General features: G+C 40.1%; 2 protein-coding genes and 1 pseudogene across 19 annotated transcripts in view, besides 3 other annotated features; 2 read left to right on the top strand and 1 right to left on the bottom strand.

Moving 5' to 3' along the window:
• The window catches only part of ATR (ATR checkpoint kinase), a 129,499-nt gene extending 125,063 nt beyond the window's left edge, over positions 1 to 4,436 (top strand). For 4 of the 6 annotated variants that reach the window (NM_001354579.2, XM_011512925.2, NM_001184.4 and 1 more), the window contains 2 exons: positions 438 to 543; positions 4,069 to 4,436. In NM_001354579.2, coding sequence (NP_001341508.1) covers positions 438 to 543; positions 4,069 to 4,242 — 280 coding nt within the window. In that variant the 3' untranslated portion in view covers positions 4,243 to 4,436. Of the gene's footprint in view, positions 1 to 437; positions 3,113 to 4,068 lie in introns of those variants that run through there. The other 2 variants (XM_047448361.1, XM_047448360.1) reach the window with 2 other exon arrangements.
• On the bottom strand, positions 1,334 to 3,592 carry EIF2AK1P1 (EIF2AK1 pseudogene 1; annotated as a pseudogene).
• The window catches only part of XRN1 (5'-3' exoribonuclease 1), a 141,428-nt gene continuing 119,343 nt past the window's right edge, over positions 5,634 to 27,718 (top strand). For 12 of the 13 annotated variants that reach the window (XM_047448357.1, XM_047448356.1, XM_017006640.2 and 9 more), the window contains exons 1-3: positions 5,634 to 5,801; positions 20,778 to 21,010; positions 26,830 to 26,927. In XM_047448357.1, the coding sequence (XP_047304313.1) occupies positions 5,727 to 5,801; positions 20,778 to 21,010; positions 26,830 to 26,927 (406 nt within the window). In that variant the 5' untranslated portion in view covers positions 5,634 to 5,726. Of the gene's footprint in view, positions 5,802 to 20,777; positions 21,011 to 26,829; positions 26,928 to 27,718 lie in introns of those variants that run through there. The other variant, XM_047448358.1, reaches the window with a different exon arrangement.
• Positions 5,637 to 5,916: an enhancer, noted in NCBI's record as "active region_20642". NCBI's record gives its function as "activates an Ori minimal core promoter by ATAC-STARR-seq in GM12878 lymphoblastoid cells {active_cell/tissue: GM12878}" and the evidence as "EXISTENCE:reporter gene assay evidence [ECO:0000049][PMID:35858748]".
• Positions 7,449 to 7,808: an enhancer, noted in NCBI's record as "active region_20641". NCBI's record gives its function as "activates an Ori minimal core promoter by ATAC-STARR-seq in GM12878 lymphoblastoid cells {active_cell/tissue: GM12878}" and the evidence as "EXISTENCE:reporter gene assay evidence [ECO:0000049][PMID:35858748]".
• Positions 9,384 to 9,590: a silencer, noted in NCBI's record as "fragment chr3:142162923-142163129 (GRCh37/hg19 assembly coordinates)". NCBI's record gives its function as "represses an EF-1alpha promoter that drives an FKBP-Casp9 reporter gene in an ReSE screen in K562 erythroleukemia cells {active_cell/tissue: K562}" and the evidence as "EXISTENCE:reporter gene assay evidence [ECO:0000049][PMID:32094911]".

Genomic DNA, 27,718 nt, shown 5'->3' with positions numbered 1-27,718 from the left:
ACATATCCAACTGGGTATTTCCCATAGGTAATTGGATTTGATGTTTAGGGTGCAGAAAAAAGGTCTGGGCTAGGTCTATATGGTAGCTATAGATGTTATATCGTTATTGAAGACATGGTAAGGGATAAAATTCCTTCATTCAAAATATAGTCATTTACCAGTTCACAGTATACACTTAGAGATGGCACATAGAACCCATCTTACTCTATTCTCCAAAACACCTCTGACTCCCCTCTATCTTGCCTTTTTTCCTGCCTTCCCTTCTCTTACCCTCCCCTCACACCAAAACAGAAATTTCACATAACTTAATGAAGACGTAGTAATGTGTATTATAAGAGTATTACCATTAGCTTCTCATCCTTCACTTAAATATTGATGTCAGCAAGATTTCTTCTTGCAAAGATAACATCATACCATAATATTTGTTTCAATTTTAGTGTCTTAAAGACTTTTCTACATGATCCTCTTGTGGAATGGAGTAAACCAGTGAAAGGGCATTCCAAAGCGCCACTGAATGAAACTGGAGAAGTTGTCAATGAAAAGGTTAGTAGAAGGTATAGCTTGATATGGGCTGTAGTCCTCATCTCTACAAATGAACTTGATATGCAGCTATAGTTCTCATCTCTATGCATGAGAACTGCTTGGAAATACTGTTAGTGACTATTGATTACTCTGAAATCTAGTTCTCTAGTATCACAATGCCATAAGTTTTCTTTATTGTCAGTAATGTTAACAGTATTCGCATTTGTATAATAAAAGTTCATGGCACACTTGTTTAACCATAGACAATTCACAGTTATGAGATACAGTAGGAAAAACTATAGTACAAATTGCCTGAACTTACAGAACAACAGGTCTGAGCTTTAATATCATGATACCAGTATGTCACAAGCTATGTTAACAAATGCAGCAATTCACTTCTTACTTAGTTGAAGCTGCAAAGTTTGCAGATAGTTTTGTTGTTGTTGTTGTGGTGGTGGTGGTGGTTGTTGTTTTTGAGACAGAGTCTCGCTCTGTCATCCAGGCTGGAGTACAGTGGCACGATCTTGGCTCACGGCAACCTCTGCCTCCTGGGTTCAAGCAGTTCTCCTGCCTTAGCCTCCCAAGTAGCTGGGATTATAAGCGTGCACCACCACAGCTGGCTAATTATTATATTTTTAGTAGAGATGGGTTTCACCATGTTGGCCAGGCTGGTCTTGAACCCCTGGCTTCAAGTGATCCACCCACCTCAGCATCCCAAAATGCAGGGATTATAGGCATAAGCCACTGTGCCTAGCTCAGATAGTTGTTTTTAATAAGTTAGAATAGATTGAGGATTCGTTTTTTTTGGTGGGGGGCACTCTTACATCTTTAATAAGTCTTGTACAGGCTTACTAAATACAATGAATTATACCAACTATATGCTAATAAAGATTAAAAATTTACATTCCAGTTAACTACCTAAAGAGTTTAAGTCCACTTTCATCCTACTGATATAGCTCGAGGAAGGCTAGACCTGTACGCCCCCATCCTTCATGTCATCCTTAACCCTTTGTCTTGAGAAAGAAGGTTTAGCTGCTTCTTTAGTTCTTCTAAAAGAACTAAAAGAAAAATTTCTTTTTCTTGCTCTATTATCTTCATCTGTAGGGTGAGATTAATATTTCCAGAATTGTGGAAAAATTCACTCTGTAGCAGTTGAAGAGCAGATGGTCTCTGGGACATGTTCCTTTTCGTTAAGTGATAGATATACTTGGCTTGTACTGGATACCTTTTACTGAGGGATTCCAATATCTGACCAGTTCTTGAACCTGTTAAAACTTCTGCTCGCTCCATTTCTGTTCTAAACAGCTGAAAGAGCTCTAGCAGGATCACACTCAAGCTATATACATATCTAACTGGACAAAGCCAGCCCTGGTCTCTACAAATAGTTTTTGTTTTTTTTTAATTAGCTGGGCTCAGTGGCACACTCCTGTAGTCCCAGCTACTTGGGAGGCTGAGGTGGGAGGATCACTTGACCCCAGGAGTTGGAGGCTGCTGTGAGCTATGATGACACCACTGCACTCCAGCCTGGGCAACAGAGTGAGACCCTTGGCATCATACTCAGATCCTTCCAACTGCTGGGATGAAGCATACAGACAAGTGCCCACTCTGGATATAGGTGTTGGTGTTCTCTTTCTGTTTCTATGGGTCCAGTCTGTGTTCTTTTGTAAGATGTCTGGGCAAGCCAGACCAAAGTCTCCTATTTTTACTTGCTGATCAGGGCCATGAAGAAAAATATTTCTAGGCTTCAGATCTCTGTTTACAATACCCATGTTATGTATGTAAAACACACCTTCCACTAAATCTTGAAAATTTTTTGTTGCAACACTGGCCATAAGGACAGGCAAACTTGCCCACACACTCTTGGCCCTGTTTGTTTCTCTCAGCTAGCCAGTCCCACAGCTGGAGCTTGCACACCTGCATCTGGATGTGCAGCATCAGGTGGTACTGCACCTCGATCCCCAACAAGTTGAAGTTTTCTTTGGAAGATTCCTCAGTGGATGTGAAATTCTCCTCTAGGAGGGAATTACACCTGAGCAGCAGGGGCTGTTTCACAATTGACCAGGTAGACAAACCAGCCAGGCCATTTTCCTGGAGCTCCAGGGATGATTCATATTCACTGGTGTCTCTTAAGACGGAATTGATGGTGTAGTTCACAGCTTGTTGTTCTGATTTTGAGTGTCAGATTCTGCAAAGGGTTTTTCTTTTCTGAGGTGAGCTCCGCGAAGATAATGGGTGAGCTGCTATTTTCACCATTTTTAACACCGTATTGGTATCTGTCTGCTTGGTCGGAGAACACTTCCAGAAATGGCAACTGAACGGAAGCTCTGTCTGCTTGTGGTTGGACCACTTGAACATGTTCTGTCCACGCAGTGTGATAACGAATGATATTAGGGTGCTGAAGACCTGCCAGCACCTTCATTCCCCGTAGTTCTTTCATGTAATGTGTTTTTGTTGCACCCTTAATCAGGATTTTTTAAATTGCATAATACTGACCATCTAATTTATTCCTGACCTTGTATACTCTTCCATATCCACCTTTTCCTAAGATGGCAAGTTCTTCAAATTCATTTAAGTAACGTGAAGTTTGTGCTTCAAAGGGTACTTCCCTTGATCTGATTTTCTGGATATGAGAAATAGCCTCACAAGGATCCTGATGAACTCTCTCTTTAGTGGACCTCATTAAGTGAGTAATAGCTCTGTGGTGATGTAGTCTCAATGAGCTAAACTTGTCACAAGTGAAAGAAGACAGCAGCCCCATTTTGATAAAGGTCTGGCAAAGTAACTTAAACACTGTCTTGAATGAACTGGGTTTGGTTCACGCACATGGCTCAAGTGCTTCACCAAAGAAATAAGCGGCAGCTGGTTTGCAACTGCAAAAGGGAAAGTTGGCTGTTGTAGGGGTTATTTTAATACCTGGAGTTCTGCTGGAACATAAGTCATATTTGGAGTCCAGGCTCTTGGCGGAAAAGTCGATGGCAGATGGCACAGCAACAGTCTCCACCCCGTGGCCCTCCTCTTTGTGCTCGTGGGCTGCAGCGCAGCCCACCAGCCCACCCAGCACCACCTCTGAGAATTATTCTTCTAATAACGTTATTCTTCCTTTTGCATTCAGATATGCTTAAGAAATTGTACAGTTCCAAGTAGCTCACTTAGAACACCCATTTGCATGTACTAACATAATGTAAATATTAGGCAGTACAGCATTGTTATTTGAATATTCATTGAAATGTTTAAGTCCTAAACACTTCCAAAGCAGATTTAAAAAATTATTTTTCTAGAATTGTAATGTGTAAATAATTCCCTGGTATTTCACGTAGTCCAGAAACATGTCCAAGCAGTTGATGTTGAATCAATCTTGCGAGCCTCCAAATCAGTATCACAAGCTAACTGTATTTGTTTAATTTCTTCTTTTCCTGTATTTGCTCTTACAAAAGGGGTATTGGTCAGTAAAATGGTATTAACATTTATTAAATGTCAAAATATAAAGAAAGGTAGTAATTCCAAATTATTAACATCTGTTTTTGGTTTTATGTTTCTTCTTTTTAGGCCAAGACCCATGTTCTTGACATTGAGCAGCGACTACAAGGTGTAATCAAGACTCGAAATAGAGTGACAGGACTGCCGTTATCTATTGAAGGACATGTGCATTACCTTATACAGGAAGCTACTGATGAAAACTTACTATGCCAGATGTATCTTGGTTGGACTCCATATATGTGAAATGAAATTATGTAAAAGAATATGTTAATAATCTAAAAGTAATGCATTTGGTATGAATCTGTGGTTGTATCTGTTCAATTCTAAAGTACAACATAAATTTACGTTCTCAGCAACTGTTATTTCTCTCTGATCATTAATTATATGTAAAATAATATACATTCAGTTATTAAGAAATAAACTGCTTTCTTAATACATACTGTGCATTATAATTGGAGAAATAGAATATCATGTGTTCTTATGGTCAAAAACTATATTTGCAAGAAACAAGCAAGTCTAATTTCATTTTACAACTTCTATTGATTTCCTTTTAAAAGTCCTAGCTATTGTAAGGATTCACTTGAAGAACAAAATTATATGGAATAAATACTGTGGGCAAGGCGTTGTGCCAGACTTGTGCATAGAGCTACCCTCTCCTGCCCTCCAGGAAGTGACAGTCTAGTAAGAGAGATATATAAATATAAATAGCATATCATTAAGTTCACTTAATAAAACTTTGTTTTAAAGTGTGATAGGGAAAAAATATAAGCCAAGAAGCGTGAATGTGAAAACGAAATAAACATTCTGTAATTTGTGTGATGCTGCCATACTGCAGTCCCAGAATGCAGAATCCAGTGGTCATGAAAGACAGCGATACTTAACATTTCCTGAGATCTTAAAATCCAAAAAGTATTAAATGTTTAAGGTTTTTCTGTAAGTTTTCATCCAGAAGACTTAAATACAAAGTAACGGGTTAATACATTCAAATAAGTGGAAAACTCTTACATTTAAAACTGATAATTTCACTTAAGTTGATAGAACTCTCCTTTGCTGTGCGGTTGAAAGTGTGATGGGGAAAAATATGATAAACCCGGATGCAAGAATGTCAAAACTAAACATTAAATGATTTCGTATCCAAGGTCTTATGTTAACAGTTGCGGGGGGCGGGTACATGGGAAATTTTTTTGAACAATTTGGAAAAGAACGTTTTTAAACGTATGTATTAAGAAACGTAAGTTTAAATTCCTCAGAGAAAAAAAATTATTGACAAAACAACAAACTAAGCCAAGTAAATCACCAGATCTTTCGAAATCTGAATGAAAAATACTGAGATTAGCAACCCTAGGAGACAAGCGGAACAAAAATCAGTGTTCGATACCCTTCCCACACCTTCGTACGGTTTTCATGCCACTTCCAAATCCACTTAGAAAGCACAACTCTATCATGGGGCATTTTCGCCCCTAAGTTGCAACACACCAGCAAACCTCCGCAGATTCCCTGACCGCCACTGGACAGTACCGCGGCCCCGGCCGCGCGAGGCCCGGAGGGCTAAGCCCCGCCCCTCGGACGGCCTCGGATCCTGCCGCTCTAGGCCCGCCGGGCGCTCTCTATGGTCGGCCGGGCGGTGTGTTGTCATCCGCGGAGCGACGACCGGAGGCTGCGGCGGAGCCCCGGCGGGGCGTTTGGTTTCGGTTTGGCCCTGACTGGGATTAGTGTTGACGATCGAAATGGGAGTCCCCAAGTTTTACAGATGGATCTCAGAGCGGTATCCCTGTCTCAGCGAAGTGGTGAAAGAGCATCAGGTGGGTGAGCGAGGGGCAACGGCTCAGAAAGCCGAGGACCCGGGGCTCCGCGGCCCTCTCCACCTTAGAGCTGGGGCTTTCGAGCCACCTCTTTCCCCTCGTCGTCTGGACGATTAGTGGCATTAGGGAGGGGGACGGAAGGTTTGAGGACGCCCGGATGAGCCGAAAGGGGCTAAGGACGCAGGTTGCCTGTGTGTGGACAGAGCCGCTGGGTTCACGGCTTCTCTGACAGCTCTTGCTTCTGCTGGTCCTTCCGCGACTCCGAAATGAAGTCCTGGGAAAGAACGCTTTTACTGTTCTCCGGTTTCCTCCCGGGGAGCTGCAAGTTGCCTTTTTCCTTACAGAGGCTGCGAAGCTGGAGTGGGTGTCCTCGTAGGTTCCCCCATCCCACCCAGAGCGGCAGACCCACTTACAGACGATAACAGCCGCTTCCGCACGCAGTCACCTTGTTTACTTTCCCTGATCTAGAGCGCGGCCCACCCGGCCCCCGGAGCCTAGACTTTCCGACGTGGCTGATGGTCATATTGGTGATGCCTTTTGTTACTTTCTGTTATTTCAAAAGCAGCACCAATCCCCTGTTGCCAAAACAAAAAACTCTTGGGCCAGCTGGGGAGTGGGGCGTAGGACCTTTTATTTGGAGGCCTCACTGTGTGACAGAGGGGGTTGGGAAACGAATTGATAGAACATTAATACTACTAATAATATTTGGCATGTACTGACCCCAGGACAACGTTAATGTGTAGATTCCGAAAACGTAGTTTATATATTGGAACTGTGGAAAGAGAGGAGAAAGCAGTCGTCTATTAGGTAAACTAGACTTTGGGTGATACTTTGGTGTTTGTCACATTTAATGAATTTGATCTCTTTTCTGATGCTTTACAGAAAAAAAGCTTGAAATTTGTGTAGCTGATTGAATCAGTTGTGATGGGTAGTATTGTAAATAGCCTATTAAATTATGGTTTAATCGGCATTTACGAACATGAAGGTAGTTTACTTCTGGAAAGGAGTTTTTGTTGCTGGATTCCAATCAGATTTGGTAGATGAGAAATAGACTACAAAAAGTTTCCAAGGTTAGCTTATCTTGAATTTATTTGAAACATAGATTGAGTTAGGTTTAGAGAGGTATTTTTTTCCCCCGGGGAGGGCTAAAAAGGAAACCAGTACATTGCAGAAATGGAGACAACCAACTTTGGCTTTTCTTGCATCCTTCAGTCAGTACCTGCTATATATCAGTCACTTTATCTCTAAAGTGCAAAAATAATGCGATTGTTATTCGTGATGATTTAATACATAATTTGTTCAGTAATATTTTTATTCTGTAGTCTGTGGCACAGAATTTGGTTTGGTGAAAATATCTTAGATTCTCTCCATCCTGAGGAATTTTGTTACTGAAGAATGAAAATCTCTTTAATGCAGTTTTATGACATGGACACTAAGGATAGGTTTTGTGAAAGCTTTATATAGAAACTGGGAGGAGAATTATTTTTAAATTTCACTGTAAATAAATTTTAAAATTTGGTTCATTGTTGTGATACCTTTCAAAAATGTTTGATTAAAAAGAGACCAAAGGTTATCAGCTTCTCTGTTAAGTAGAACTTAAAGATGGTAATGCCTAAATAAGTCACAGGCATTCAAAAGCTAGTCCTGGGCGGGAAGGATAGGGAGAAGAAGTAAGTTACGGGAAGTCAGTGGTGTGGCCTCAGTAGCATAGGTTTTCAGTTTCTCTGAATCATCTTGTAAAAACAGAAAGAGAAACTAGAAACCAAAGTTTAAAATCCATAAAACAATTACAACAAACCATGTGACATGCTATCCCCATGAAACTCAAAACATAACTAGGTGAGGCAAACTATCAATAGTCTCTAGACACCGTTGATATTGCCATCTGTGCAAAAGCGAGAAGGAAGCAATGGGGCAACATCTGATGAACCTTAGAACAGAATTCCAGAATAGCCAGCGGTATCCACTAAAAGACTGTGCTGGCCAATTAGATAGCGGTAGCTGAAACAGAGGAGTTTTATTCACTCCATTATTGACTGGGTGAAGGTCTACCATAAGAAAGACCAAACAGGCAGGAGTAGTCTACCTCCTGTGAACACTCAAAACTGACTTGCCAAGGTGCCATTCTAGACCAGAGCCCTAAGGAAAAGGGAGTGGAATAAAGTCTTACGGAAATGTTATGCTGGAAGTGGAATAAAATTTTATGAAAGGGACAATAGAGACAAGAAGAGAAGGAGATAGACCATATAAAAGTGAGGCAAAGTCATAGAATCAAGAAATCTTAGAAAACAAACCACAAAGCAAACCACTGTATTTTTTAACACTACCCAGAAACAGCTTTGTGAACTTATATTCCCTGAACCTCTACTCATTCTAAAAGTTCAAGAAAATTAAATTCACATAAAAATGAGCTACAGAAAGGTATTGAGATCAAATTACATACAAAGTTATTATACGAGAAAAAGGGACAGAGTATCTCTCCAGACATAAAAACTTGCAATGAAAAAAATGCACACAAAATAGACCAAAATTATAACCAAAACTATTATCTATTTCACAATGAGTTAAAAGGCATTAAGAAAATGAGGTAAGACATGAAAGAACAACGTGTATCAATTATGAAAATGTGAGAATGAGATGACAGAGAAAGTTAGAAGTAAATGAAAAAAAAATGCAGAGCTGAGCCTCAAATAGAAGCAAGACGAGCAAATGATACCATTTGAGAAAACAATCGGCAGTGGAAAGATGAAATTTTAAAAAATAAAATAGATTTAAAAGATTCAAGAAAAAGTAACGATAAGAAAGATAGGCAAAGAAGACAAATAGTAGAGGTGCCTGAAAAAGAAAAAACCAAAGCAGCATAACAGAATGGGTACTCAGTAAATATTTTTTGAGTGAATTAATTTATTAGCTATAGCATATAGCATATAGAAATGCATATTAAAATAGACATGGTATATTAGTATGTTGTAAAACAGTATTTTTTAAAAAAGTGAAATGAAGCCTGGGATTATTATGATTATTTTTTTTTATGAAACATAGTGTATATACTTATGGGGTTCATGAGATGTTTTCGTACAGGCATGCAGTGTGTAATAATCATATCATGGAGAATGGAGTATCCATCCACTCAAGTATTTATCCTTTGTGTTAAAATCTAATTACACTCTTTTAGTTGTTTTTAAATTATTGCCTATCGTCACCCTGTTGTGCTATCACATAGTAGGTCTTATTCATTCTTTTTTTTTATTTTTTATTTTGGATACAAGGTCGCGCTCTGTCACCCCGGCTGGAGTACAGTGACGCAATCTCGGCTCACTGCAACCCCTGCCTCCCCGGTTCAAGCAAGTCTTGTGCCTTAGCCACCCAAGTAGCTGGGATTAGGCGTGTGCCACTACGCCTAGCTAATTTTTGTGTTCTTAGTAGACATGGAGTTTTGCCGTGTTGGCCAGGCTCTTCTCCAACTCCTGGTGGCCTCAAGTGATCCGCCCACCTCAGCCTCCCAAAGTCCTTGGATTATAGGCATGAGCCACCGTGCCTGGCCTGTGTTTTTTTGTTCTGTTTGTTTTAATTTAAATCTTTTTAAAAATAGAGATGGGTTTTTGCCATGTTGCCCACTCTGATCTTGAACTACTGGGCTCAAGTGATCTGCCCGCCTCGGCCTCCCAAAGTGCTGGGATTACAGGCGTGAGCCCCCGTGCCCAGACTAGGTCTTATTCGTTCTTTCAGTTTTTCTTTTATACCCATTAACCTTTCCCACCTCTCCCCTGACTCCCCGACTACCCTTCCCAGCCTCTAGGAACCATCTTTCTATTTTCTATGTCCATGAGTTCTATTGTTTTGATTTTTAGATTCCATAAATAAGTGAGAACATGCAATGTTTGTCTTTCTGTGCTGGACTTATTTTACTTGACATAATGAACTGCATTTCCACCCATGTGGTTGCAGATGGCAGGATCTCATTCCTTCTTGTGGCTGAATAGTACTCCATTGTGTATATACCACATTTTCTTTATCCATTCATTTGTTGATGGACGCTTAGGTTGCTTCCAAATCTTGGCTATTGTGAACAGTACAGCAACAAACAAAGGAGTGCAGATATCTGCGATATACTGATTTCCTCTCTTTGGGTTATATTAACACAGATAGCAGTGGGGTTGCTGGGATCATATGGTAGCTCTATTTTTAGTTTGTTTTTGTTTGTTTGTTTGTTTTTGCAGTTGCAAGATTTAATAGAGTGACATAGAGTGAAAACAGAGCTCCCATACAAAAGGAGGGGACCCGAAGGGGGTTGCTGTTGCCGGCTTGAATGCGTGGGTTTACATCCCGATCCTTGTCCCTCCCACTGTGCTGTCAGGCAGTAGATGATTGGCTATTTCTTTACCTCCTGTTTTGCCTAATTAGCATTTTAGTGAGCTCTCTGATTGATCAGGTGTGAGCTAAGTTGCAAGCCCCGTGTTTAAAGGTGGATGCGGTCACCTTCCCAGCTAGGCTTAGGGATTCTTAGTCGGCCTAGGAAATGTAGCTAGTCCTGTCTCTCAGTCCCCACTCTCAGCAGGAAAACCTAAGTGCTGTTGGGGAGGTTGGCCGATGACTGCTCTAACTGCTTCCTGCTGAATTGGCACGTAGTAGGGGTGGTGCAGTTGAGATTTCCTCGGGAGGGGTGCCTTTGATGTCATTAACATCAGCGCATGGGCTAACAGGCCGGTCCAGGGGTCCGCGGTAGATCTTAGTCATGGACTGCATCTGGGGCTCCATTTGAAGAACGATTTGTAGTTTTACAGCTTCGATTCTGGAAGAGACAAACTTAACAAGGAGGTTAAAGATACAGGGATTGGGCCGGGCGCGGTGGCTCACGCCTGTAATCCCAGCACTTTGGGAGGCCGAGGCGGGTGGATCACGAGGTCAGGAGATTGAGACCATCCTGGCTAACACGGTGAAACCCCGTCTCTACTAAAAATACAAAAAATTAGCCGGGCGTCGTGTTGGGCGCCCGTAGTCCCAGCTACTCAGGAGGCTGAGGCAGGAGAATGGCGTGAACCCAGGAGGCGGAGCTTGCAGTGAGGTGAGATCGCGCCACTGCACTCCAGCCTGGGCAACAGAGCGAGATTCCATCTCAAAATAAAAATAAAAATAAAAAGATACAGGGATTGAAATGTATGGCCTGCAGTGCAGATTATTTCTTTGGCACACTTTACAGGCCCTAACTATCTGCTTGATAGTTTTGAAAAGGCCTGGTCCAGTAAATAATAATTTGGCCATCTGATGGGTGCTATCAATGCCTAAGTGAAAGGTTTGGTGAAGGGTTTTAAGTAATTTCCATTGGTTAGCTGCAGGCAAAAGTATTTTTCTTTCTTCGGTGGCTAGCCATCCTGAGGGGAGGAAACTATGTCCTCGTGAGCTTCCCCATTCTATTTCTTCTTCTGAGTACTGGGGCTTGGTTTCCTGGAGGGGATTACCCCATACTAGGGGTCCTTCTATAAGCATTTCTAATGGAGGGTCCTGCCTTGCGGCTCTTTTGGCTTCAATATCCTCTTGGCGGTTCCTTTCTATTTCCCGTTCCTTTCTGATGACCCCGGCAGTGTAAGACTGCCACCTCTTTAGGTTTCTGTACAGCCAATAATAATTTCCTAATGGCTTCCTGATGTTTGATAGGTGTTCCCTCCAAAGTTAGGAATTCCCTTTCTCTCCATATTGCTGCATGGGCATGGAGGACTAGGTAAGCATATTTAGAGTCTGTATATATATTTACCCTTTTTCCTTCTCCTAATTCTAGTGCCCAAGTGAGGGCTATTAGTTTTGCCAGCTGAGCACTAGTTCCTGGAATGAGGGGATTATTTTCAAGTATTCCATTATCACTGACCACTGCATACCCTGCTTTTCAAAGTCCTTTTTCTATGAAGGACTTTTTGTATACGAATTCATTGTATGTATATGAATACGAATGAATTGTATACGAATTGTATGCGAATTCAGTATACAAATTGAGGTCAGGATCCGTCAAGGGAACCTCTGAAAGGTCCCCTCGAGCGGCTTAGGTTTGAGCAATTACTTGTTGACAGTTATGTTCTATCTTTTCTTCATTGTCTGGAAGAAATGTGGCTGGGTTAAGAGTTGCACAAGTGCACAGTCGCAACACTGGCCCTTCAAGTAATAGAGCCTGATATTTAAGTAAATGGTTGTCTGAGAGCCACAAGTCTCCTTTAGCAGTGAGTATACCATTCACATCATGAGGTGTCCACACAGTAAGATCTCTTCCCTGTATTATTTTAACTGCTTCAGATACTAAGACTGCAACTGCAGCCACTACCTATAAACAATGAAGCCAACCCTTTGCCACTACATCAGTTTTCTTACTCAGGTATGCCACGGTTGCAAGCTCGTCCCTCGGACCTGTGTAAGGACTCCTAGAGCTATTCCTGTTTTTTTGTGATATATAAAGAAAAGTCTTGCCCTATTGGCAAGCTTAACACTGGGGCTTGGGTTAGGGCCTTCTTTAGGGCCTGGAAAGCCACTTCTGCTTCAGGTGTCCATCTTACTAAATGGGTATTGGCTTTCTGAGTTTCCTTAATTAGTGTATATAATGGTCTGGCTATTTTGCCGTACCTGGGAATCCATATTCGGCAGAAACCTGTTATGCCAAGGAACCCTCTTAGTTGCTTTAGGGTTTGGGGATGAGGATAAGCAGTATAGGCTGGATACATTCCCCACTGAGGGCCCTGGTGCCTTTGGATAATTTTAGCCCTAAGTATTTAAACTGCTGTGAGCAGAGCTGAGCCTTTGGTTTGGAAACCTTGTAGCCACAGGTGGCGAGGAAATTTAAGAGCGCTTGGGTGGCTTGGTGGCACAAGGTTTCTGAATGGGCGGCCAAAAGTAAATCATCCGCGTACCGAAGGACAAGAGTGTCCAGGTATGAAAATTGGCTCAAGTCTTGGGCTAATTCCTAGCCAAATAGTTGGGGCTATCCCTGAACCCTTGGGGTAAAACAGTCCAGGTGAGTTAAGACGTTGGGTTCGAAGGCTCTTCAAAGGCAAACAAGAATTGAGAGTCAGGATGTACAGGGTTGCAGAAAAAGGCATCCTTAAGGTCCAGGACTGTAAACCGCTCTGCTTCCTCTGGTATTTGGGAAAGCAGAGTATAAGGGTTAGGTACAGCTGGGTATAGAGGAACAACAGCCTCATTCATAATCCTGAGATCTTGCACTAACCTCCACTGTCTGTTGGGTTTCTGTACTCCTAAATTTGGAGTATTGCAGGAGCTATTGCATGGTTTTACTAGGCCTTGGGCTTTTAGGTCCTTAACAATCTTTTGGAGTCCTTGTTGGGCCTCGGGTCTAAGGGGGTACTGCCTTTGGTAGGGAAAGGAGGTGGAATCCTTTAGTTTAACTTGACCAGGATGGGCATTCTTTGCTCGTCCATGTTGTCTTTCTGTTGCCCAGACTTCAGGATTAATTCCTTCCTCAAGCAGGGGACAACAAACGGGTGTTCCTTCTCCTATGTTCAGGTGTATAATGACCCCTACTTTTGCTAGAATGTCTCTCCTTAACAAGGGAGTGGGGCTTTCAGGCGTAATTAGAAAAGCATGTGAAAAGAGTAAAGTTCCCCAGTCACAACTTAGTGGCTGGGAGAAGTATCTAGTGACTGGCTGTCCTAGGACCCCTCGGATAGTGACAGATCTGGAGGACAGTTGTCCAGGACAGGAGAGTAAGACTGAGAAGGCCGTGCCAGTGTCCAGGAGACAGTTAACCTCCTGGCCCTCAGTGGTAAAGCATACCCAGGGCTCTGTGAGGGTGATGGCATGGGCTGGCGCTTTCCCCGGGCACCCTCAGTCCTGCTGCTGGATCATCTGGTTCAGCAGGACCTTCGTCTCCTGAGACCTTCGTCTCAGAGGACCTTCGTCTCCTGAGGTAGTGGGCCTTCCAGTGATTCCCTTGACATAAGGGGCATGGACAAGGGGGCGGCTTATTTCTACTTGGACAATCTTTTTTAAAGTGTCCTTGCGGACCGCACTGGAAGCAAGCCCTTTTAGGCATTCGATTTGCCCAGCTTTTCCCTTTTCCAGAGCCTCCAAAGTCCACTTGCCTAAGGGCCATGACTAAAGCGGTGGCCTTTTTTTTTTTAATCCCGTTTGTCCTGTTCCGCCTGCTCCTCCTGATCTCTATTATAAAAAAACAAGGTTGCCAAGTTCAGTAGAGTTTCTAAGTTTTGCTCTGGGCCTAAGGCGGACTTTTGAAGTTTTTTCCTAATGTCTGCAGCTGACTGATAAACTTGTCCTTTAAGATTAGTTGGCCTTCAATGGAGTCAGGTGACAGGGAGGTATGCTTCCTTAATTCCTCTCTTAGTCTATCCAGAAAGGCAGTAGGATTTTCTTCCTTTCCCTGTGTTACAGTGGACATCATTGAATAATTCATAGGCTTCTTCCTAGTTTTCCTTAGTCCTTCTAGCACGCAAGTTAGCAGATGTCTGCGGCACCAATCTCCATGTTCTGATTCTGTGTCCCAGTGAGAGTCTACACTGGGAACTGCCTGCTGGCCTGTGGGGAATCGTTCTCTTTCCTCTGTTGTCATCCTATCATTGACCTAACTGAGATACCAGAGATTGCCAAACTCTCGGGCTGCAGTTATGGCGGCACTTCTCTCATTTGGGGTTAGTGTCTGATCTAGCAGTAACATTATATCTCTCCATGTCAGATCAAAGGATTGTCCTAACCCTTGTAAAACGTCAATATAGCCATCAGGGTTATCTGAGAATTTACCTAGATCTATTTTAATTTGCTTTAAGTCTGAGACAGAAAAAGGTACATGCACTCTGGCTGGGCCGAATTCTCCTCCTCCCACTGCTTGGAGGGGGCATAATCGGGGAATATTGGCACTCTGGTTCATTGTTTACCCCTTTGTCTGTCTCCTTTGGACCGTTTGGGTTAAAGGGGGGTCCTTGTTAGTTGGGGAAGGAGTCGGGGGGACACTGGAATAGGGAGGTAGACTCTGAGGGCTTCCTGTAGGGCATAAACCACACTTTTTACATAATTGCGAGTTGTCTCTTAATGAAAAGAAAGTTTGCACATATGGCACTTCACTCCATTTGCCCTCCTTTCTACAGAAGAGGTCTAGCTGTAGGATGGTGTTATAATCTATACTTCCCTCACGAGGCCAGGTTTCTCCCCCTTGAAGAGGATATCGTGGCCAGGCGGTACTGCAGAAGAGTATAAGTCATTTCTTTCTTAGTGTCTGAGGGTCAGATTGGTCCCATTCTCCAGAATACATCTTAGGGGCGTTTTTGCCTTGTGGGGGAGAACGTTTCCCATCTGAAAAAAGAACAGAGGGATGCCAGCACCCCTAGTCATTTTCCAATGAGCATTAGTCCTAGAGCGTCCTGTAAGGGCCTAATGCTTATTCTTTTCCAGGGTGCGTAACCACCCATGGACCTCTGCTTATCGGATTAGTTACGCTTACCGATGTAGCAGTCCTGCACCTGTTTTCCCGCCTCTCTTGACCACAAAGAAAAGGGTCTGGACTGCTGGATTCTAGTGGTCCTTTACCAGCGTGCCCAAAATTGCCTTTGTGCTCAGGGGTGAGTTCCTTTCCAGGGTGCGTAACTCCCCACGGACCTCTGCCTATCGGATTAGTTACGCTCCCCAATGTAGCAGTCCTGCACCTGTTTTCCCGCCTTTCTTGACCACAAAGAAAGGGGTCTGGGCTGCTGGATTCTAGTTATTTTTAGTTTTTTGAAGAACCTTCAAACTGTTCTTCATAGTGGTTGTACTAATTTACATTCCTGCCAACAGTGTATGAGGGTTCCCTTTTCTCTACATCCTTGCTAGCATTTGTTGTAGCCTGTCTTTTGGATAAAGGCCATTTTAACTGGGGTAAGATGATATCTCATTGTAGTTTTGATTTGCGTTTCTCTGATGATCAGTGATGTTGAGCACCTTGTCATGTTCCTATTTGCCATTTGTGTGTCCTTTTTTGAGAAATGTCTGTTCAGATCTTTTGCCCATTTTTGATTGGATTATTAGATTTCATCCTATAGAGTTGTTTGAGCTCGTTGTATATTCTGATTATTAATCCCTTGTCAGGTGAGTAGTTTGCAAATACATTTCTTCCATTCTATGGGTTGTCTCTTCACTTTGCTGATTGTTTCCTATGCTGTGCAGAAGCTTTTTAACTTGATGTGATCCCATTTCTCCATTTTTGCTTTAGTTTCCTATGCTTGTGGGATATTACTTAAGACATTTTTGCCCAGACCAATGTCCTAGAGATTTTCCTCAATGTTTTCTTGTAGTAGCTTGTAAAGATATGTAGAAAGAGGAAAGAATATAGGATTGGTGGGGAAAATAGCAGCCAAATCATGCAGGACCTTTTATGCTATTAAGGATTTGTAGTATCCTATGGGTTTAGGTAAGGAAGCAATGTGATCAGATTATGTTTTAGAAAAATAGCTAAACTGTGGTGAGAGAGAAAACTGGAAGCAAGCAGTTCTGTTGGGAAACTGAGGGGCATGGACCAGTGTGGGAGATCTGGGCATAGAGAAAAGGATGAGATTACCTAAGACAGTGGAAATGGATAAGATGGTAAGATTCTAGAAACATTTTGGATGTTAAATTAAAAAGAAAAATACCTCAGTGACTAATTGGATATGGGATTGGAGAAGGCAGAGAGTATAAAATAACCTTGAAATTTCTAACTTGCCAATGTAATAACTGAGAAGAGAAACTACATTATCAGTAATCTCTTTGTATGGGAGCAAAGTTCTACTGCATGTTCTCACTTTATTCAACACATTGGCCAATGATTAATTATTCTTTGTCTTTCTTACTAGTCTGAAACCTAAGAGAATTTTTCAAATATTTCTTTTCTAAAAGGAAAATTATATGGGGTATTTTTTAGATTATAAAGGTAATATATGCTCATTATTTTAAAAAATTCAGATAATGCGGAAAAATATAAAAATTATTGTATAGTCTAGAGGAAAGTAAAAAGCTTTCATCATCCATGGTTGACCCCTAGTAACATCTTGTTTTTATATACTTTCTAACTTTTCTATGCAGATACGTATGTAAATAAATATTTCCTATAAATAGGATACTTTACCTGCTGTTTTATACCCTGCCTTTGTCACTTGATGATATATATTATGCATATTATTCCATGCCAAATATGAATCTATTTCATAATTTGTAATTGCTGTGTTGAATTCCATTGTATGGATGTACCATCATCAGTTTTCTATTTTTATCTTTTCTGTACAATACTGCCATGAATATTTTATACTTCATCTTTACAAGTTAATCATATCTGATTATTTTTCAGGATAAATTTTCAATAGTAGAAATCCTGGGTCAAAGATACACGTTTCAAATTTTAATTCGTACTTTGTGATTAGTTATGCCAATTTACATTCTAGTCCCAAACTATTGGGTATAAACCCTATTTCTGTTTTTCTAGCTCCACGACTTTTCTCTAAAATTAGAATGCTAAATATTTATCTTTTAAGGTTGTTATAATTAAGTCAGAGAATGAATATACATATTTAGCCCAATGTTTAATACCTAATAATTGCATAATAAATGCCAGCCATTGCTTTTAATAACATGAAATATGTGCTTCCCCAAAGCCCTGTTAATACTGGGTAACATCAGTCTCTTTAATTTTTACTAATGTGGGAAAATGATGTGTTATTTCAATGAGAAATTTTGGATGGTGAACATCTTTTCATGTGCTTATTAGACTTATGACTTTTTTGTTTATTCATTTCTGAATTGCTTTCCATTTTCTGTGATTGCTTTAAATTTTTTTTTTTTTTTTTTTTTTTGAGGTGGAGTCTCGCTCTGTCGCCCAGGCTGGAGTGCAGCGGCACGATCTCAGCTCACTGCAAGCTCCGCCTCCTGGGTTCACGCCATTCTCCCGCCTCAGCCTCCCAGGTAGCTGGGACTACAGGCGCCCACCACCACGCCCAGCTAATTTTTTGTATTTTTAGTAGAGATGGGGTTTCACCATTCACAGAATGGTCTCGATCTCCTGACCTTGTGATCCACCCGCCTTGGCCTCCCAAAGTGCTGGGATTACAGGCGTGAGCCACTGCACCTGGCCTTTTTTTTTTTTTTTTTTTGGGGGGTGGGGACAGTTTCACTCTGTTGCCAAGGCTGGAGTGCAGTGGCATGATCTCAGCTCACTGGAACCTCCACCTCCCAGGTGCAAGCGATTCTCATGCTTCAGCCTTCTAAGTACCTGGGATTACAGGCATGCGCCACCACCCAGGCTAATTTTTGTATTTTTGGTAGAGATGGTTTCACTTTGTTGGCCAGGCTGATCTTGAACTCCTGACCTCAAGTGATCCACCTACCTTGGCCCCCAAAGTGCTGGGATTACAGGTGTGAGCCACCGTGCCCAGTCAAAAATTTGCTCTTTTTCTTATATTTCAGTATTTCAGTATTTTTTATGTGTTAGAGATGTTGACTTCTTTTTTTTTTTTTTGATACAGAGTCTTGCTCAGTTGCCCAGGCTGGAGTGCAGTGGCTCGATCTCCGCTCACTGCAAGCTCCGCCTCCTGGGTTCACGCCATTCTCCTGCCTCAGTCTCCCGAGTAGCTGAGACTATAGGCACCTGCCACCAAGCCCAGCTAATTTTTTTGTATTTTTTTAGTAGAGACGGGGTTTCACCGTGTTAGCCAGGATGGTCGCGATCTCCTGACCTCGTGATCTGCCCTCCTCGGCCTCTCAAAGTGCTGGGATTACAGGCGTGAGCCACCGCGCCCGGCCAGAGATGTTGACTTCTAATTTGCAAACATTTCCCTACGTTTTGTCATTTTTAATTGAATTATATATGGCGCTTTTTAACCCTATATATGTAAAACAATACATTTTTAGATAACTCTACCATTTATTTGCTTTATGATTTCTGGCTTTTCCTACCCTAAGAGTTTAAAAATATTTGTATGTAATTTTTTTGTTACATTTCTTACAGTAAAATTTTTAATCCTTCTGGAATTTCTTTTGTTTTAGCGTAAGATGGAGTTTTATTTTTTATATACTAAATTTCCATTCAAACCATCTGTTTGATAACTTATCTAGGGCAAATTTCCTTTGATTCTTCTTTTTGTTTGTTTGTTTTATAGAGACAAAGGGTCTTACTCTGTCTCCCACGCTGGAGTTTGGTGATGCAATCACCACTCACTGCAGCCTTGAACCTATGGGTTCAAAGATTCTCTCACTTCAGTCTCTCAAGTAGCTAGAACAGACACGTGCTGCCACACCCAGCTTATTCTTCTTTTTAATACTCTTCTTGGCTATTATTGCATATTTATTCTCCTAGGAAAACTTTGGAAAATCGTTCTGTAAAATGTAAAAAAAAAAAAAAAAAAAGTGTAAAAAAAAAAATTTGATCAAGTCGTTGATGCTGAGGCCAGGCGCAGTGGCTCACACCTGTAGTAATTCCATCACTTTGGGAGGCCTGGGCAGGCAAATCGCTTGAGCTCGGGAATTCAAGACCAACCTGGGCAACATGGCTGGTATTTTTTCATACAAAAGATATGAAAATTAGCGTGTGAAAAAGATATGAAATTATCACGTTTGTTGTCATGTGTCAGTGGTCCCAGCTACACTGAAGGTTGAGGTGGGAGGATTGCTTGAGCCTGGGAGGTGGAGGCTGCAGTGAGCCGAGATCGCACCACTGCACTCCAGCCTGGGTGACAGATCGAGACCCTGTCTCAAAAAATAAAAATAAAAATAAATAAAATACCCCTGTTGAAAAGTCACACTGAGATTTTCATTGAGGTTTTCAGATTTCTTGGAATAAACAGTAAATCTTGAGTGCACTTTAAAACTCTCATGGTTACAACTGTCATTTCAGTTCAGCCTGTCAGTAAGAACATTCCAGAATTTTTATGTTATGCTTGTACATACAATACTATATAAATAGGTATTTCATAAAAATATGTTTTGATGGTGTTCATTGATTCAGAGACCAAAACTTTTCACTCCCAAAACTCAAAGGCATGCCATTTTCTCAGTAGCAGGAAAATATATTGTTACTTGTACGTGTTGTAAAACTTGAATTACTGTTTCAGAAGTGATTTCTATTATGTTTATACAAGGAAAAAATTCAAAGTAATTTACTTTAATGAATATGTAAGGCAGACTCTATTCTAAGATTCTTTTATTACAGTACAAAATATAACTCTTTAGTTTTACCCATTTCAGTTCCATCTTAATGTGTATTTGTTTCAGTAATGTTCCCCATCCTCACAAACATTTACTTTTTTTATTTTTAGTTAAAAAAATTTTTGTTCCTGGTGGGACCAAGAGTTCCAACACAAACATTTAAATAGAGGAAAAATAAATGAGAGAGCCATTAAGGTCTTCTTATAAAAGCAGATGTTTGTTATTCGGAGCTTACAAATTATTAACCCACATATCACAAACAAGAAATCTGTTTTTCAGGTTTCAGTTTCATAAATTTCTTGGCATAATCTAACATTTTAAAAATTAATATAACCAATCAGTGACTGCTTCAGTGAAACTAAGTATACAATTAGGCTTTACATCATATGTTAAATGTTTCAGTAACCATGTACAAACAGCCTTTTGATGTAAATGGGCTTTTTGTTACCCATTATAGAGGAAATTGAGGTTTTGAGGAGTTAATGTCAAATGGTAGGAAGGAACGAAACTAATATTTTGAGTACCAAATGAACCAAGCACTTTATTTGGTGTTTTCTTGGAGCTTATTATTTTGAATAAGTAGATTATTTTCTGACAGTAAATTTGATCAAGTCATTGGTGCATTATATAAAACCAAATTTGTCACCATATTACCAATTCTTTACTTTTTGTATTCATCTGTGATTGTTTACTCAGTTTTTGTATAATAGAATACACAAATCCTGCTTTTCATCATTGAATAATCACTTTTCCCTGCTGCTTAAGATATCTGTAGTTGATTAAAATAAATGATCTCAAGCATTTTTCTTTGTTTTTCAGATTCCTGAATTTGACAACTTGTACCTGGATATGAATGGAATTATACATCAGTGCTCCCATCCTAATGATGATGATGTTCACTTTAGAATTTCAGATGATAAAATCTTTACTGATATTTTTCACTACCTGGAGGTGTTGTTTCGCATTATTAAACCCAGGAAAGTGTTCTTTATGGCTGTAGATGGTGTGGCTCCTCGAGCAAAAATGAACCAGCAGCGTGGGAGGCGTTTTAGGTAAAACATTTATGTTTTATTTTGGAATATTATTTAGCTTAGTAAAAATATGTTATTTTAAAGATAATTGATTTAACACAATCTTCTGTTCATGTTTATTTTCTGCGTAAACTCCCCCAGAAATGGAAATATCTCAGTGTCATATTTTACCAGTCGAGTAATGAGTTAGGAACTCAGTGAGATGTCCTTTCTCAAAACATATGTTGGAGGTTCTCTTGTTCGTTTGTTTGTTTGTTTGTTGAGACAGAATCTCACTCTATCACCCAGGCTGGAGTGCAGTGGTACAGTCTTAGCTCACTGTAATATCTGCCTCCCCAGTTCAAGTGATTATCGGTGCCTCAGCCTCTTAACTAGCTGGGATTACAGCCAAGCGCCACCGGACCCAGCTAATTTTTTATATATATATATAAAATAAATTTTATATATATATAATTAATTATATATATAATTAATTATATATAAAATAAATTTTATATATAAAACATTTTATATATTTATATATAAATTATATATTATATATTTTATATATATGAAAATATATTTATATATTTATATATAATGTATATATTTTATATGTATAATTTATTTATTTTTGCATATATATATGCAAAACTCCGTCTCAAAAAGATTATATATATTAAAAAAATATATATTTATATATATACAATATATTATATAATATATACAATATATTATATTATATATAATATATTATATAATATATACAATATATTATATTATATATATTTATATATATAATATATATATTATATATAATATATATAATATAATATATTATATATAATATATATATTTTTTAATATTATATATAATTTTTTTTTTGAGATGGAGTTTTGCTCTTGTCGCCCAGGCTGGAGTGCAGTGGCGCGATCTCGGCTCATTACAACCTCCGCCTCCCAGGCACAAGTGATTCTCCTGCCTCAGCCTCCCAAGTAGCTGTGATTACAGGTGCCCGCCACCACACCCAGCTAATTTTTGTATTTTTAGTAGAGACGGAGTTTCACCACGTTGGCCAGGCTGATCTCAAACTCCTCACCTCAGGTGAGCCACCCACCTCAGCCTCCCACAGTGCTGGGATTACAGGTGTGAGCCACCGTGCCCAGCCAATTTTTAATATTTTTAATAGAGACAGGGTTTCACTCTGTTGGCCAGGCTGGTCTTGAACTCCTGACCTCAAGTGATCTGCCTACCTTGGCCTCCCAAAGTGCTGGGATTACAGGTGTGAGCCACCACGTCTGGCCAGGTTTTGGTGTCACCTGGGGCTCTAAGAATACATCACTGTAGTTACAGTTCAGCAATTAGGAAGCTACTGCTGCATCTGTTAGTTCCCAAGCTACAGTGCAGTTGCTAGATCTGTACTGAAAAAAACTGATTCCCTGTTCCTTGCTTATAAAGTCACACTTTTGTTTTCTGTCACAAGTTTTTATACTTCTCATTGATAATTTGCAAATGATAGTACTGTAGTAGAGAAAAGCTCCAATAGTAGTCTGCCCTGGGATGGTAACTAGAAAGTGAACTAAGAGGTTCTTCTAATGAGAACATTATTGACACTTAATTCAACAAACGTGTATTGAATGCCCAGACTCTGGGTTAGATGCTGATTTTTGACTGAGCATAAGTCCAGATTGGGCAGAAAGGCAAGTGAGATCAGAATGCAATTGATGGACTGTGAGAAGTGAGCTAAGTTAGGAAATTCAGGGTATTATCAGCACCACTGTGTGACTTAGGCGGTAGGAGAAGTAAAAGGATGAGAAGAGGTTACACACTAGGATTTTAAAGTTCATTCCTGGACATGTGGAATATTTCTGTGTAACAGTGAGATCAGGCTGTGTCCCGGTTCATGGGTAACAGAAGTAAAGGTTAGAATTGAAGGCAAGAAATCCCTAGTGGAGAGTGTTTGACGGGTCATTAGCATAATGAGTCCTTCAATCATAATGGCAAGTAAAGGAGTGGAAAGACCATCTGCACATCCAATGTGGAAGTCATCAAAGAAGGTGGGACGGTGCTTTGAAGAAGGCTGCCGGTGAGAGGAAGAGGATGGCAAAAAGTACTGATTTCAATATCAAAAGAAAAAAGATACTGAAATTTTTAGAAAGACTGTGAGATCTTTGAAGGCAAGGGCCATCTCTGAGTAATATTTAAATTCTCAAATACCACCCAAGACTTACTCTATCAGAATCTCTAGTAGTTGAGAAACTCCTGGGAACTATTTTTTACCATACTCCCCTGGTATTTGTTAAAGTAGTTTTTGGGAGCCACTAGCCTAGAAGATCTAGTGTTAAGGAGGGATTTTATAAACCTACTACATCAGTCTGGGTTCAGTTGCAGGTGATAGAAAGCACTCTAGCTATTTCAGACAAAAAGGGGTGTAATTCAGGGAATTGGGTGTTTATAAAAATCACTGTAAAGCCAAAAGGGCGGGAATCTAGGTGAGCCGTAAGGGATAACTTCCCAAACAGCACTACAGAACTGACTCACCAGTGGCAGAACTATTACCACATTCAGGTAACGTGAGGAGTTCAGAGCCCCCTACCAAAATGGGTGGTTTCGGGAACTTACTCCTTTATCTGTGATCCAATAATTAAGAAGCTGTCACTTGGGGCTCTAAGAATACATCACTATAGTTACAATTCAGCAATTAGGAAGCTACAGCTGCATCTGTTCCAGAGCTACAGTGCACCTGCTAGATCTGCACTGAAAAAAACTGATTCCCTGTTCCTTGCTTATCAGCACCTCTAAAGATACTGAATACTGGGATCTTCTTTACCATTGCTGAAATATACAGACATACTAGAGCTCCAGTGCCTCAATTGTGATGCAGGCACCACCACACTTCCACTTTCCAAACCTTATATGGAGGCATCTAATTGGCAAAATCTGAGTCATATGAAGACACTTAGCTTCAGGGAAGCCTGAGAACTTTCTAACCTACCTGGTGTCAGAAGGTAAACTAAAAGGAAATGGAATGGAAGTTGAGGGCCAATGCATTATAACCACCACAAGCATTTATTAAATACTGTGCTGGTATTGAGCACTACATTTTTCCTAGAAATCCCCTAGTCAGTTTTCTGCCATTCTCTACAGTGATGACCTTCTCCATTCATAATTCCCTGTTTTACTTATTTCTAAATCTGCCTTCTTTTATCCCCACCATGCCACTAAAATTTCCTGACAAGATTACGGCTAAATCCAGGCCGGGCGTGGTGGCTCGCACCTGTAATCCCAGCACTTTGGGAGGCCCAGGCGGGTGGATCACAAGGTCAGGAGTTCAAGATCAGCCTAGCCAAGGTGGTGAAACCCCGTCTCTACTAAAAATACAAAAACAATTAGCCAGGTGTGGTGGTGGTCGCCTGTAATCCCAGCTACTCGGGAGGGTGAGGCAGAGAATTGCTTAAACCCAGGAGGCGGAGGATGCAGTGAGCTGAGATCACACCACTGCACTCCAGCCTGGGCGACAGAGTGAAACTCTGTCTCAAAAAAAAAAAAAAAAAAAAAGATTATGGCTAAATCCAAAGAATACTTCTTTCTTCAACTTATTTCATTTATCCACAGCATTTAACAATGTTGACCATTCTTTCTTGAGCTTCTCCCTTTCCTTGACCATCATGTAACCACATTCTCTCTTTGTACTTTCTTAGTCTCCTTGTCTTCTTTTCTTCCTTTGTGTTTCTTAAATATTAATGTTTCTTAAGTTTCTGTCCTAGGCTCTGAGTGATTTCATCCAATGGCTTTGATTACTATGTCTCTGCTGATGACTCCAAATTTATCTTTCTGGTGGATCGCTTTCTCCTAAGCTCCTATATATCCAAATGCCTACTAAATGTCTCCTTTTGGAAACCCCAGATATACTTCAGGGTTAACATATTTAGAACTGAACTCATCTTCCCCTTAAAACAGTCTGCCTTCTGTGTTTCCTATTTCAATGAATGGCAACACCTGCCACTAGCTACCTAATCCAAAAGTCCAAGAGTTATTTGGACTTCTTGCTCTTCCTCATTCCTCACATCCAGTCCTCTTTATCCAGTCTCAAATTTGTCACATCTGTCTACTTCTTTTCATCTTTAATGCTACTGTCTCAGCCTAGACTACCATTATCTTAATCTAGATTACTTCAATAGTCTTACCTTGTTCCTGTCAAACATTTTCTTTATTGCATCCAGATTAAACATTATGGCTGTTTAATTTTCTACCTCCCCACTAGAGTGTAATCTCAGAACAGAAATAATTTTTTTTTTTTTTTTTTTTTGGAGAGTCTTGCTCTGTCTCGCCCAAGCTGGAGTGCAGTGATGTGATCTCGGCTCACTATGGCCTCTGCCCCCTGGGTTCAAGCGAATCTCCTGTCTCAGCCTCCCAAGTAGCTGGGACTACAGGCCGCACCACCACACCCGGCTAATTCTTTTTGTATTTTTAACAGAGATGGGGTTTCACCATGTTGGCCAGGCTGGTCTCAAACTCCTGACCTTAGGTAATCCACCTGCCTTGGCCTCCCAAAGTGCTGGGATTACAGGTGTGAGCCACCGCACCTGGCCAAGAATAATTTCTCTTTTGTTATATCCCAAGACCTTGTGACATAACAACATTGAATAATCGTTTGGTCAGCCAAAGAAGGAAGGGAAGAAAAGAGGAAAGAAGACATTGCAGATAATACAAACAAGTTGATATCCTCAGAGTTTTTGTTATGTTAAAGAGGTTGGTGAGAGAGAAGTTAAACTTGAAGAAGAGTTTGTTCATCACAGAAATAGAATTGTGTGGGGCACAGTAGATGAAGCTAGTAGCAAGGCTGTAGAAACTATACTCAAAGCAGAGCTTCCTAACTTGTATGCCATGTGGCATGCTGGTACGCTGCAAAGGGGTGGCAGTAGAAGTCAGGCAGGTAGTAGGACACCCATATTCAAATCCAGGTTTGCCTGACTGTAAAACTCAGGTTCTTTCTAGTAAATTCTGTTGCCTCAAAAATGTGATGATTTTGCAGTTGATTTCATTAATGTCATTAGGCTTTCATTTTAAATGTTTTTAGGAAACACAAAGATAGATATTTCAATTTTATAATTGCATTTTTATATAATCTTAGGGATAATTTTAATGATCTTAAATGTATACATTAAATGATGATTAAGATCATTAAATGTCATTATCATTAGATGTAGTATATATAATGAACATTTAAAGCTATACTTTTGATCTTATTTTTAGAATGAATTTGCCATATATTTGTGACAATAATTATTTTATGTTTTTAACATTCTGTTAAAATGTTCTACTTCTGTATTCCTAATCCGAAAAATTCAATTTTTTTTTTTTTAAATGAGACAGAGACTCACTGTGTCACACAGCCTGGAGTGCAGTGGGTACAATCATCACTCATTGCAATCTTGAGCTCCTGGGCTCAAGGGATCCTTTTGCCTCAGCCTCCCAACTAGCTGAGACTATAGGCACATGCCCCTGTACCTGGCTAATAATTTTTTTTATTTTTGTAGAGATGGGATCTTGCTTTGTTGCCCAAGCTGGTCTTGAACTCCTAGACTCAATTGTTCTTCCCACCTTGGCCTCCCAAAATATTGAGATTACAGGCATGAGCCACTGCACCTGGCCTGAAAAATTCAATTCTTTAAATAAACAAAACAGACAAGTCTGGGGCTCATTTTTATCAATCATAATCATTTCAAAACTTGTATGTTTTGAACGTTAAAACTGGTGAATTACTATTTTAGTTATAAAGGCACCTACATAGCAGTTTATATAAAGATCTTCACTTTTTTTCAGAAAACTTAAGGTACTTTTTTCCCTTAACCTTTAAGGTCAGCAAAGGAGGCAGAAGACAAAATTAAAAAGGCAATAGAGAAGGGAGAAACTCTTCCTACAGAGGCCAGATTTGATTCCAACTGTATCACACCAGGTAAATTCACTGAGAGACAAATTATGACAGAATTGAAATATAAATTGAAAACTTGGTTTTTAAATGTATTTTATTTTCTATGCTCTATTTATTTTGGCCTTAGGGTTCCATTTACTGTATTTTCCCACTTATGTTTGCTCATGAGACGATTTGGTCACCTTGGTCATAAATACTCCTACAAAAACTGTAGGGATTTTCAGATGTAGATAAATTAGAGCAGATATGGACAGGAATCTCCCAGGTGGACAGAATTGCAGACCTTGAAGAAACTTATGTTTATATATCTTTCTGTCCTATTCCTGCCATTTATTTATGTTAAAACAGACTCAGTGAGGTTGTAGCTTATCAAGTTGATGTAGCTAGATTGTGGTAGTCAGAGTAAGAAACTGATTCTCCTAGTCCAGGGCACTTACTACTCTGCTTCTCAAAATTAGTTAAGATTTTTATGACTTTAAGGAAAATGAATTTATCAGTATTATGTTTAATTTTGTATGCAGCAGCATACTCTATATACTTCTACAACCTTTGTCTAACATCATATAATTCTTTACTTTGAATGAAAATCTTAAAATCTAACTTTCTCATCAGTTCTTTACTAACAGTGGTAATTTGCCCTTTCTTTAAGTGCATTGGTCACACATTGCTCAGTTTAACAACCGGTTTTATCCTGATTGTGGTTTTAGACTGTATTGCTTTTGACTGTTGACCATCTGAGCCTTTCCCAAAATGTAATCATTGTAGACTCAGGTTCCAAATTAATAATAATTTTTCAGAATAATAATTTCAGTAGT

Source organism: Homo sapiens, chromosome 3 (assembly GCF_000001405.40).
Source record: "Homo sapiens chromosome 3, GRCh38.p14 Primary Assembly".
Classification (NCBI taxonomy): domain Eukaryota; kingdom Metazoa; phylum Chordata; class Mammalia; order Primates; family Hominidae; genus Homo; species Homo sapiens.
Note: the sequence above shows the minus strand (reverse complement) of the source record. Positions and strands in the feature narration are given on the sequence as shown.